The following is a 13,393-nucleotide window of genomic DNA, read 5'->3' as shown; positions in this document are numbered from 1 at the left end:
TAAATGAGTATGGAAAACTTTATTCAATGCTCTTGCAATAGAGGAGAGAAACTAGAATGCAGTCTGAAGTCAACCCCATTGAAACAAAAGGCAAAAGGGTTTTCAAGTGCTGGGAAAACTACTGAAAAAGTGATGGAGGATATTAAGGTTAAACATAGTATGTGTTCAGAATGTTGAGTTATCTTGAGTTTGCAAATGTTTTTCTCTGGTGAATAGGGTAGCTGTGCTTGCTAATTAGCACCCTCCAAAGTTAGGCTGCCACACGTCCATACAGTTCGGGAGATAGTGGCTGTATCATCCATGATGATTACATTTGAAAGGGATGGTTTCCAAGTCCTTGAGAGAGATGGTTCTGGGTCATAAACCTGGGAAGAGGAGTCTACAAAAATTTATATCTCAAAGGTGCAGAGGATTTACAAATTTTCTAAAAGTAAATGCTCTAAGGAAAGAAAGGTCAGGGTCTAAAGTCAGGAATAAGCTTGTTTACAGTTTAGTCCATCTGAGGGCACTGTGGTAGCTACTACTTACAAGATGATGAACAAAACATAGGTGAACTCTGTCCCCATGGACTTTACTGTAAAACTATAAATCATACTCACCTAGCCTAAAACTTGAATAAATTATTGTCTTCTTAGGCAGCTGCAAACTTTCAGGTCTTTACTCCACGATATAGCTGAACAAACTGAAAAACAATTACTTTTCTTGAAACCCAATAGAATTGAGGTCACAGGGCAAACTACCATCTCAAAGTCTGGAAAGACAGGTGCATTGAGGGAGCCACAAATGAGATCTGCTTACCTGGTGCAGAAGCTGCTGGAGCTATTAACTGGCCAGAACACTGATGTGGTCATTCTGATGAATTGCTAGAAGTGGAGTGTGAATGAGCATAAGAGTGAGAAACTCCTAGGGACTGAAGTCTTGGGAGGACTCCACATTTTAGTGGGTTTTATTTGCCTCCAGAAACCCCATGAGACTGTGACAGTAAAGAGCTGGGAGAGGGCCCTTTATGTCACCGGCAGGGGAGAGGAAGAACAATCACTGTGAACTGCACATGGAGCATCCTTCAGAGTAAAGGCCTGCCCTCCAAGTGAAGTCTTGACCACAGTATTGTCCCACTTGGGAGAAGGGCATTTATCCCATTCTAGCCTCTCTAGCCTTCCTGGCTCAACAAAGCAGGAAGTGGCCATACAAGAAGAAACATGTGGGGCTGTAACAGCCCAGAGACACTGGCCCACTAACGACTGAATTGGAAGATTATAGAACATCTTCCCTATCCCACTCCTTACCACCACACTCACAGGGCTCAGGTCATCATAGTGCTGACAGCTCAAAGACTCGCAAGACTTCAAGCATAAATAATTAGGCAAGATAAGTCAACAGGGGATACAGAAACAAGGACCCCAGAGGAATCTGAAACCTCTGGCCCCTCCAGTTACAGGAAGAACAAGAGTAAGAAGTATAGCAGACTTCTCCCCAGAAACCATGCAAGCAGGCAGTGTGGACAGTAATAAAAATGTTGAAAAAATACAAAAAACTACAATCCTATCTCCAGTGTAAATTATTTTCAAAAAGTGAAACTGAAATAAACATGTTCTCACAGAGAAAGTGAGAGAATTTGTTTACAGACTTACCCTGCAGGAAATCTTAAATATTCTTCAGGGAAAAGGAAAATAATACAAGCCAGAAACTCAGACCTACATAAGGAAAGGAAGGGCATCAGGCAAAGAATAAGTGTGGAGAAAATAGTCTTTCATTTTTTCTAGAATAAGAGAAATAAAAAAATATAGGTGACCCCGGATTTGGTAATAGGTTTTAGATACAGTGAGAAAAGCATGAACCATGAAAGAAAAATAAGTTGGGCTTTATTAAAATTTTAAGAATCTGCTCTGTGAAAGATTCTGTTAAAAGAATAAAAAGACAAGCTGCAGATGGGAGAACATACTTACAAAACTTATATGTGGTAAAGGAGTTGGATCCCAAGTGAATAAAGACCTCTTAAAACTCAATAATAAGCCAACAAAACGAAGTTCTAAAAATGGTTAAAGATATAAACTGACATATCACCAAAGAAGATGAAAGATGCATCATCTATTATTAGAAAATTGAAAAAACAACAATGAAGAATCTCTTTATACCAACTTCAATGGCTATAATCTAATACATCAAAAATAGCAATTGTTGGAGAGGACATGCAACAACAGAAACTCTCATACATTGCTAGGGGAGTGCAAAATGGTACAGCCACTTTGGAAGACAATTTGAGAGTTTCATTTCAAGAAAAATACAGTCTTACCATAAGATTTAGCAATTGTGTTCCTAGGTATTTATTGATTTGTAAACTATGTCCACGCAAAAATGTTCATAACAACTTTATTTATAATCACCAACAACTTGAAGAAACAAAGATGTTCATCAATAGGTGAAATGATAAACCATCAGTGGTACATCATGCAGTGAAATATAATTCAATGACAAAAAGGAATGAGCTGTCAAGTCACAACAGACATAAATAAATCTCAAATATATATTGTTGAGTGAAAGAAGCCAGTCTGGGAAAGCTAAATAGATTGTGATTGCAATTATATTACATTTTTCAAAATGCAAAATGTCATATATGATAAATGGTAAGAACTTATAGATGCCATTACTTTGGGAGTACTGGAGGGAGTTGAATAGGTAAATCAGAGAAGATGTTTATAGTGGTGAAACTATTCTGTATGATACTATAATGCTGGATAAATGACACTATGCATTTATCAAAACTCACAGAATTTTATAGCACGAAGAGTTAGTATTAATCTACACAAAAAATATTATTGTTCAGGAATTTAAGGGAATCCCAGGATGGAATGTAGAATACAACAAAAGAATCTAACTGTATTGCAAATATATAAAACAATCTCACTGAAGAAGATGAAGAAAGATGCTGACCTAAGTAGCTTTGTAAATAAGTGGATCTATAACACTCAAGGAAATAGAGACTGCAGGCAAGCACTCTAGTTGATTTGATAGTGCTGTCTCCCAAAAGGGTGTGGATTAACATTTCTAATACCATGGTGGGAGCCAGGTTTCTCACTATTGAAGTGGATAAGCAAGGGGAGAAGGCTACAATGGTCCATGTGGCAGTGGATTAGAGTTGGAGATATTAGTATGAACTCATATTTAGCTTGATATAGATAAAGATGATTACATATGGACATGTGTTTCTACTTGCGTGTGCATATACCAGTTAGTATAAACACACCTATCTCTTTGCTTTGTCAGTTGAGAAGACCTGGAAGTAATGACACCCAGTAGCAATTAGCACACTGAATTCCCAGATTTGGGCTTCTAATACTGTTCTTCAATAAGTGAAAACAGGGCTCCTTGGAGAAATGGCTAATTCGAGAATTGGGCAAGGGGATATACAAGATGAGTGATATGGTTTGGCTCAAATCTCATCTTCAATTGCAGCTCCCATAATTCCCTGGTGTCAGTGCAGGAGCCTGGTGGGAGGTAATTGAATCATGGGGGCGGGTCTTTCCTGTACTGTTCTCGTGATAGTGAAAAAGTCTCATGAGATCTCATGGTTTTACAAATGGGAGTTCTGCACTAGCTCTCTTTTGCCCACCACCATGTAAGACATGCCTCTGCTCTTCCTTGGTCTTCTACCATGCTTGTGAGGCCTCCCCAGCCATGTGGAACTGAGTCTGTTAAACCTCTTTTTCCTTATAAATTACCCAGTCTCAGGTATGTCTTTATTAGCAGCATGAGAACATATAAATACAATGAGCTTGGAGCATCTTGTAGTGCTAGAAAATAAGGAAGAGAAGAAAAAAATGATGTGGGCATGTCAAAGGGACAAAGGGGTTACCTGCAAGAGCTTCCAGTGGCCAAAGTTGAATTTGGCAACATATTAAAGCATTGAATTATAACCCGAAATATAAAATAAATATCCATAGGTCCATACTGAAATAAATGATAGAATAAATGGATAAATGAGGAAAACAGACAAATATCTCAGGCAGAATTCTAAATAATTTATGTAGAAACTCTGCCCTCAAGGAGGTGGAAAATAACTCACCACTCCCTAAGTGAGGGCTCCACATGGGGACTTTCTTTTAAAAAGCACAGAATAGAAAGGAGGAAAACAACAAATAACTTCACAGTGGAGACAAAACTATCTCTGGCTGGTGATACAGACGAACAATAATAGTGATAATCTATGGTGACCATCTATACCATTCAAAATATAATGAAAATGCACATCAACAAAATAAAAGGAAAAGAATATTTGATCATACAAGTTGTGCAGAAAAGTTAATTAACGGGATTTTATATAATCTAATACTTACTCTTGATAAAACCTCTAAGCCAGGTAGGAATGGAGGGGAATTACCCCAACTTGATAAAGAATGTCTACAAAATCCTACAGCTAAAATTATACATACTTACGAAAGACTAAGAATTAAGGACATGGAGACTGAGTAGAAAGAAATAAATCTCTATGCACATAGGACATGATTATCTATGTAGAAAATTCCAAGAAATCTATGAAACATAAAATCCTAGAACTAAGGGAGTTCAACAAGGTTGCAGATACATGATAAGAAACAAAAATCAATCACATTTTTATATACTCACAATAAACATGTGAAAATAAAAATTAAAGAAACACAACTTGCAACCACCCCCCAGAATGCACACTTTCTGTGCTAAGTACACACTAAACAATACATATGCAGAATCTGTATGATGAAAATTATAAGTTGATGAAAGAGATTAAGTAACACATAAATAAACTGAAAACACACTGTGTTCCTGGATTAGATGACTCCCCATAGCAAGGTTGTTCATTTTTTCTAAAGTGATCAACACGGTAAAGACATTAATTGTCCCCAAAAGGATCTATAGTATTAATACAATTCCTCTGAAAAATTCCAGCAAGGTATTGTGTGAATATAGATAAACTTATACCGCAGAAAAGCAAAAATGATCTTGGAAAAGAAGAATAAAGTAACAAAAACAATTATCCACTATCTCAAGACCTACTAAAGCTACAGTAATCAAGACAGTGTGGCATGAAGTATGTCACTGGATGAGGGGCACACCTATAGATCAACAGAATAGAGAGAAGAACCCAAAAATAGACTGAAAAAAAATAGGCTTAACAGATTTTTGACAAAGGTGCAAATGAAATTCCCTGGAGGAAGCAGAGTTTTTGGGCAAAGTGTGCTGCAGCAATTGGAAATTCAAAGGCAATAAAGAAACAAAGAAAGAACCTCAATAAAAAACTCACATTATATAAAAAAAATTCAAATCGGACAATGAAAGTAAATGTAAGATATAAAACTATAAAACTTTTGAGGAAAAGACATGGAAAATTTTTGAGATATAGGGCAAGACAAAGAGTTCATATGATTGACATGAAAAGTAAGAGCCATAAAAGGAATAATTAACAAATTGTCCTTCACACATTGACAAATTGGACTTGTCTATTTGTGAAAATTCATGTGAAGAGAATGAAAAGAGAAGCTATAAATAAGGAAAAATGATTTGTAATTATTATTATAAATTATACATCATATAGTGAGAGAAGCTATAAATAAAAATGATTTGTAATTATTATTACAAATTAATTATGCATCATATAGTGAACTAGTATCTGGAATATATAAATAAACTCTCAAAACTCAAGACTAAAAATCAAATAATTCAATTAAAAAATGGGCAAGAGCCATGAACAGACATTTTACTGAGGAGGATCTACACACGACAAATGAACATATGAAAATATGTTAAATATTCTTAGCTATCAGGGAAATGCAAGTTAATACCACAATGAAATAATAATGTACATTTATCAGAATGGCTAAATTAAGAAAAAAATTGTGGCAACACCCAATGCTGGTAAGAAGGAGAAACTGGATCTCTCATACATTACTGGTGAGAACGTAAAACGGTTTGGCCACTCTGGAAAATAATTTGACAGTTTCTTAAAAATCTAAGCACATAATAACCACACCATCCAGCACAATTACACTCATAAGCATTTACCCTATAAGTTAAAATGTATGTTTACACAACTACCTACACAAAAATGTTAATAGTGGCTTTATCTGTAATAACTCCAAATCGGAATCAGCCCAGATGTCCTTCAACAGATGAACGGTTAAACAGCTTGTGTTACATACATGTCATGGAATATTACAGGGCAATAAGAAGGAATATATTATAGATACTTAAAACAATTTAGATGAATCTCCAGGTAATCATGCTGAGTAAAATAATCCAATCCCAAAAAGTTGCATTCCGTATGATTTAATTAATAAAACATTCTTGACAAAAATTTTAGAAATGCTGGTAAAATAGTGGTTGCTAGGGGTTTGGAACTGGGTGTGAACATATCCCTTATGTTGATAAGGGATATTCATGGTGACGGAATGTTTAGTTTAGATTGTGCTGGTGGATACATAAACATATACATGTGATAAAATCAAACGAAATTACACACACTCACACAGCATGAGTATAAGTTAAACTGGAGAAATCTGAATAAGGCTGGTGAATTGTATCAATGTCAATATCTTAGTTGTGATATTAGACTATAGTTTTTACAAAACGTTAATACCAGGCAAATTAGGTAAAATGTACATAGGATCTCTTTTGTATGATTTCTTAAAGCTGCACATAAATCTATAATTACCTCCATAAAATTTTTAATTAAAAAAGTTGAATTCCTTCTAATCTTTGAACACATAGAAAAGTTGTCTTGTTTGCATTTTCCATCAAAGTCTAAGCGTTTCACTCACACAACATCACGATGGGGGCTATTACCTTGTTCTGCGCCCTCGAAATACAGAAAAAGGGCCTTGCCACTTATAAATAGCTACTGCATAGGGCCAATTCTGCTGCTGCTGTGAAACCCTGCCTGAGATTTCAAATTGTTTGTAATATTTTAAAATGTGCTTTTTTTTTGGTATTTGGATCTAAACCAGAATAATATCACTATTCCCTCTGGAGATTGTATTTGAAAAAATCTCTAGCCAAAATCACTACTGCAGCTTCCACAAAACAGCTGACTTTGGCTTGAAATCAGGGTTCCTACTGCATTATTTTTCTCAGGATAATGCTGAGTACGCCTACTATATCTCTCTTTGCTAATTTGGCCATGGGTACTCAGATTTTCTTAACCCTTTGTAATGCTCTTATAAATCCTACATGTCTACAATGGACCACAGCTAAAATTTCTTGATGTGCCCACATTTTAAACTTCAGTTTTTGTTTTCACTATATTTAGTTTCTTGACTATCCTATAAGTCAAGGGGAATGGCTCTCAAAATATTTCTATCCCCCCCGCCCGCGGCTACTTACTTACTACCTTGCCCTGGTAGTAACTTATACTCGTTATACATCTTTTTCATTTCAGAGGGCTCTTAGGTAAAATGTGTCACTTAATTCTTAGTAAACCTTGTCAGGTAGATATTTTTATCCCTTATGTATAAGTACGGAAATATAAATTCTGAGTAATTCCCTAAGCTAGTAAGTAAGGAAGCATGACTTGAATTCTAGGCATTCTGGTTCTAGGTGGAGAGTCCTCCCTATGACAATCAGGGTTGCTGGAGTGAAATGCAAACTGCCTTAGCAGATAGGTGGAAGCCAGTGCTTAGGGCCTCCTCCCAAGGCCTCTATGCCCATTCAAGCTCTTCGTTACACATACCACAATCCAGGATGGCTAAAAGACTTCAGTGAAGAGCACAAAGTTTTCTCAAGCTTTACTTCGTTACTGGCATATGGATCTTGGAAAACATTTCCTAAAATCAGTATTTTAAGACTATACTTCCTGAGATATAAACAAATAGGATAATTAGTTCTAAATCTGCTTACTCATGGTGAGACAAGAATGTCCAAACTTAATAGAACACTGCCTGAATGCATACTCATTGAACAGATGAACAAATGAATGAACCTATGAAGACTGTAATTGTGTGATGGAGAATGCCACATTAAGTAATTTTAAAGCAAACTTACTTAAAGGTAAGATCGAGAAAAATTACGCCAAGTGCTTTGAATACTGTGTGTTTGACAATGTGGATTTTCTTCATCTGTTTAATCTTTTAACATTTTACACCTTTGTTGCAGGTACATTTGTTTTCTTACCCAGGCACTTGACTGTATGTGCTGATAATGTCATTCTGGAGAAGGAGAGTCAATTGCATTCTTCTTTGTGGATGAACTAAATCAGCCACATAGGCATGTTTGTAAGAACCAGGCTGAATGTTTCTTTCTGCCTATCCCCAGTTGCCGGTATCCTGCATAGAATAGGCTTAAGTGAAAAGAACCTGGAGTCTGAAGAAGCACAACACTAGTGTGTTTTCATCATCATGTTTTAAATATAAGGTGAGGTATGCACTTTGTCCTTTCATTTCTTGAGGTGTGCCTCAATCTCTTCTTGAGTGTGCAGGGGAGAAAAGATTTCTTCCCTTGCCCATCATTAGGTTCATGGTGAAAACACCTACAACAATTGAGAGATTAATAACAAAAAAAGCATACAGATTCTTATGTCATATAATTTTTATGTGAAATGAGAGACTTCATAGGAAATGAAGACCCAAAGAAACAGAGAAGACTGTGTATTTTGCTACCAAGTTTGATGAAGAAGTGGATAACTATGAAAAAGTATGACTGGTCCAGAGGTATGATCTAATGGTAACAAGCTGGGGGGATCTTAGCAAGGCCTACTTGTTTATATTTTTCTCTCTGTCCCTGTGTCTACAGAGATAGGGAAAAAAGAGACAAAGGCTTTCCTTTTGGGGGGTATAGGTATATAAATGTGTACAGAATTGATATCTTTAGGACGTTGAGTGTTAAAATCTGTTAGTTGGATGTAATTCTCCTTTTCATTTTTTGTTCTTTAATATATAGTCATGCATCATTTCATGACATGAATAGATTCTGAGAAATGTATTGTTAGGCAATTTCATCATTGTGTGAATATCATAAAGAGTGCTTACTTACACAAACCTAGATGGTATAGCCTCCTACACACCTAGGCTGTATGGTATAGCCTATTGCTCCTAGGCTATAAACCTGTGCAGCATGTTACCAAGTACTGTAGGCAACTGGGACACAAATCACCAGGCCATAGCAATTCTTCAGCTCCATTATAATCTTATGGAACTACCATTGTAATATGAGGTCCATCATTGACTAAAATGTAGTTATGTGGTGCATGACTGCATTTTATTAAAATTTCAACATTTTTCCCATAAATTTTTGTATATTTTAAGATTGATTTTAGGAAATTAATAACTGATATTTACTGTAATTGGTATCTTTTAAATTACATTTTCTTATTACTTATGTGTAGATTTTACATAGTGATTTTGATTCCAATTTATAGTTTCACTTATTGCTTTCAATACCCATTATATGTAAATAACAATGACTTTAATTTTGTTTTTCAAATATTTATACATTTTTTTCTTGCTTCAATGAACTGGCAAGCTCCTTCAGGAGAAGAGTGACTAGAACTGCTATTAAAGCAATTCGTGACTTGTTCCTGACTGTAATTAGGTAATCACTGAGCATTATAATTGCTGTATAATTATCACCTTCAGAAAGTCATTTTTCCCCAGTTTTCTGTACATTTTTGTCATGAATGGACATTGAATTGTCTCAATAATTTTTCCGTATCTAATGAGATAATCGTGGAATTTAATTCCTTTTATATGTTCATGTAGTATAATTCATTAATTGATTTTCTATTAATTCTTCTATTAAACATCTCCTACTGAGGCTGGGCATGGTGGCTCATGCCTGTAATCCCAGCACTTTGGGAGGACGAGGTGGGTGGATCACCTGAGGTCAGGTGTTTGAGACCAGCCTGGCCAACGTGGCAAAACCCTGTCTCCACTAAAAATACAAAAATTAATTGGATGTGGTGGCACGCACCTATAATCTCAACTACTCGGGAGGCTGAGACAGGAGAATCACTTGAACCCAGGAGGTGGAGGTTGCAGTGAGCCGAGATTGTGCCATTGCACTCCAGCCTGGGCTACAGAGTGAGACTTCTTCTCAAAAAATAAATAAATAAATAAATAAATAAATAAAAATAAATAAACAAACAAACATCTCCTACTGTATTATCCTCTTGTCACATTGCTGGATTTGCTTTGTAACTTTGTTTCTGGTTTTGTATCTATGATCACAATGGAGGTTGTACTGTACTGCGCTTGTCAGTGTCAGTATGATAAACTTACACTGAACACATTTGTGGTAGTCTCTTTCTACACCTTAAAATCATTTATGAAAGATGCATTGAGTCCTTTGATGGAACTTTCTGTAAACTGGGCCTGGTGGTTTCTTTGGAGAAAGAGTTGACCTATTGATAAAATTTCAAATGTGATTATGGAACTGTATAGCTGTTCTAACTCTTCCTGAGTCTTTATTTTTCTTCTTCTTCTTCTTCTGTTTTTTTTTTTCCCAGAATTCCTGGTAAGACTGAAGAGTCTCTATTTTTCAACTCTCTACTCTGTACCCTGGTTCAAGCCAGACCATTGCTCTAACATTCTCTTCACAGTCAAGACTACCCCTTTCTGAGCTTAGGTTTATTTGCAGAGAGGTCTTCTATTTTACCCCCCCAACACTGAGCAAGCCTGGGCTTGTCTCCTGACTTTCCCAACCCACAGGCTGACAAACCAAAGTTTCAGTGTATCCCAGTCCATAAATATCTTCAAGGGAAAAGTTGGTTTCCTTGCTGTGCTTGTTTCTATGAAGTCATACTTTCATTGTGTTTCAGTCTTCTAATACGTATTATTTAATTTTGTTGACAGGAGGTTAAAGGCATTTACATATATTTTTCATTTTATCCAACATTTTTAGTTGTTTTTAGCCACAGGATAGTCAAGGTATCTAGACATTCATACCACCAGAGATGAAGGCTTACCTTCATTCTCAATTATATGATTTGTTAAATGCTTAATGTGCTTCAGGACCTACTTTTCTAATTTTTATTTTTTTCAATTATTCCCTTTTTTCTGGACAATAACTTAGCAATTTCTAACACTATCCTAACATGTCAACAACTCTTATTTCTTTATGTTTTCGATGCATTTAGAGCAATGACATTAATTATAAAAATATTAATTGAGTTTTTTTCTTCATAGCAGGTGTGTTACCAGAAAGGGGTCCCAATCTAGACCCTAAGAGAGGGTTTTGGATCTTGCACAAGAAAAGAATTCAGGACAAATCTACCGAGTAAAGTGAAAGCAAGTTTATTAAGAAAGTAAAGGAATAAAAGAAAGCCTACTCCATAGACAGAGCATGGTGTTCCCAGAAGGAAGAGAAGGAACACATCCACCTTAAACAGAGCATGGTGTTCCCAGAAGGAAGAGAAGGAACACATCCACCTTAAACAGAGCATGGTGTTCCCAGAAGGAAGAGAAGGAACACATCCACCTTAGACAGAGCATGGTGTTCCCAGAAGGAAAAGAAGGAACACATCCACCTTAGACAGAGCATGGTGTTCCCAGAAGGAAAAGAAGGAACACATCCACCTTAGGTACAATGCTCATTTATATATAAAACAGCAAAACAACAAAAAAAAACATGGGGGAGGTGTGCTCTGCTACAAGGGCTTGTGATGAAGGATTGTTAATCTTTGCATAACTACTCTCTTCCACAAGAATCTATATTATTATCTTTAAAGCAAAACTTATTCTTAAACTAAGAATGTTCTTGTTCTTAGGATATTGGGACATCAGGACATTTTCTGGGTCTGTTATCTCCTGGATCTGTTAAATCCTGGTGTTAGCGGCAGCAAATCCATATGGGTCTGCAGCAACCTCAATCCTCGCCTTCTCTGAAGAAAGAATTCAGCCAAGGGGCATAAGGCAGAGTGAGAGGCAAGTTTTAGAGAAGGAGTAAATGTTTATTAAAAAGCACTAGAGCAGGAATGAAAGGAAGTAAAGTGCACTTGGAAGAGGGCTGAGTGGGCGACTTGAGAGAACAAGTGCACAGTTTGAGCTTGGGGTTTATATGTTGGCATGATTCCAGGGTGTTGCGTCCGTTCTCCCCGTAGTCTTCCCTCGGGGTGGGCTGTCTGCATGCGGGTTGGCCTGCCAGGACTTGGGAGGGGTGTTGTGTCCCTTCTCCCCTCAGTCTTCCCTCGGGGTGGGCTGTCTGCATGCTCGTTGGCCTGCCAGCGCCTGGGAGGGACCGCATGGGCAGTGTGTTTACTGAAGTTGTACCCATGCTCATTTGAGGCGTTCTTCCCCTACCAGTTGAGTGTTCCTAGAAGGTCACACACCAGTTAAACTGCACCATTTTGCCTCTTAGTGCACATGCTTAAGCCCACTCGCCCAACCCCCGAGATGTTATTGGGAAGACGATCACTAGTTTCAGGTGTTTCTATCTATTGGGAGATGGGCTTTCCCTGGCACCGGCTGTGACCAATTATTACTTTAGAGAGAAAGTTTAACAACTGCCTGACCATCACCAGATGGCTGCCTGATACTCCTGGTGTGGGAAGGGGGCAGCTCTCCTGCCCTGCTCACTGTCTGACTAGCCACCCACTGTAACACCGGGTCGGTTTTGTAAACATATTAACTTGTTTCCGTGACTGCAAATATCCTGTGACTAAGAATGCCTGATTTCCTGGCAATGCAGCCCAGCAGCTCTCAGCCTCATCTGACCCAGCCCCTATTCAAGATGGAGACGCCCTGGTTCAGACGCCTCTGACAGATGCTCCAAGATGATGTGAAGGTAAGTGTCATAAAACGTGGAGTGAGCTTCTAAGGAGGGATGTTCTGGGCTGTAGTGGGGAAGTCTCAGACAGATGACTTCATGAAAAGAATTTAAAAAATGTTTTAAAGTGGAATGTTTAAATGTAGCCTATTAGCCTGGTCACATGTAACTTATTTCAGTCAATCAGATTAAATCTTTATTTCAAGCATTTTCATTATTCTTATTCTAGAGTAAATCTCTAAATGCATTTTCAGCCACACTTTCATTTCTCATCAGCTCAACCTAACGCCACAAGTATAATCCGAAATAATTTTAGGTATGTAGACATTTAAAGAAAATGTTCCTATTTGACATTTGATTTTGTTCCACATAACTTGGCTACAGGCAGATATAAAGGAGGCAACTGTAGTGGAAAAAAACGAGCAGGAAGCTCTGCATGAGGAGACCTGGGGACTGATGCTCTCCCTCACTCCTTGAAGTTCCTAGGACAAGACACTATCCTCTCTGAGCATCAGTTTCCTCGTGTACTCAGTAGAGTCAACAATAAATTTCCTTCCACAGTTTTGATTAGAATAAACATCATCAGAACGTGATGCTAAAATGACTCTTTTACATTTCAAATCTATTCATTTCATTCTCCTGTTTAAAATCCTTCAACATCTTGCCA

General features: G+C 37.2%; 1 long non-coding RNA gene across 1 annotated transcript in view, besides 3 other annotated features; it reads left to right on the top strand.

The window, feature by feature from the left end:
• Positions 7,355-8,554: an enhancer, noted in NCBI's record as "MED14-independent group 3 enhancer chr18:71362654-71363853 (GRCh37/hg19 assembly coordinates)". NCBI's record gives its function as "activates an origin of replication core promoter dependent on BRD2, BRD4, P300/CBP and CDK7 cofactors, and independent of MED14, by STARR-seq in HCT116 cells {active_cell/tissue: HCT116}" and the evidence as "EXISTENCE:reporter gene assay evidence [ECO:0000049][PMID:35650434]".
• Positions 11,681-12,181: an enhancer, noted in NCBI's record as "H3K27ac hESC enhancer chr18:71359027-71359527 (GRCh37/hg19 assembly coordinates)". NCBI's record gives its function as "activates a minimal SCP1, AML or CMV promoter by ChIP-STARR-seq in primed H9 embryonic stem cells {active_cell/tissue: H9 hESC(primed)}" and the evidence as "EXISTENCE:reporter gene assay evidence [ECO:0000049][PMID:30033119]".
• Positions 12,182-12,682: an enhancer, noted in NCBI's record as "H3K27ac hESC enhancer chr18:71358526-71359026 (GRCh37/hg19 assembly coordinates)". NCBI's record gives its function as "activates a minimal SCP1, AML or CMV promoter by ChIP-STARR-seq in primed H9 embryonic stem cells {active_cell/tissue: H9 hESC(primed)}" and the evidence as "EXISTENCE:reporter gene assay evidence [ECO:0000049][PMID:30033119]".
• The window catches only part of LOC105372190 (uncharacterized), a 312,925-nt gene continuing 312,213 nt past the window's right edge, over positions 12,682-13,393 (top strand). Inside the window, exon 1 of the long non-coding RNA XR_007066468.1 lies at positions 12,682-12,744. This is a non-coding gene — a long non-coding RNA (uncharacterized LOC105372190). The remainder of the gene's footprint in view (positions 12,745-13,393) is intronic.

The sequence above is a fragment of the Homo sapiens genome, chromosome 18 (genome assembly GCF_000001405.40).
Source record: "Homo sapiens chromosome 18, GRCh38.p14 Primary Assembly".
In the NCBI taxonomy this organism is placed as follows: domain Eukaryota; kingdom Metazoa; phylum Chordata; class Mammalia; order Primates; family Hominidae; genus Homo; species Homo sapiens.
Note: the sequence above shows the minus strand (reverse complement) of the source record. Positions and strands in the feature narration are given on the sequence as shown.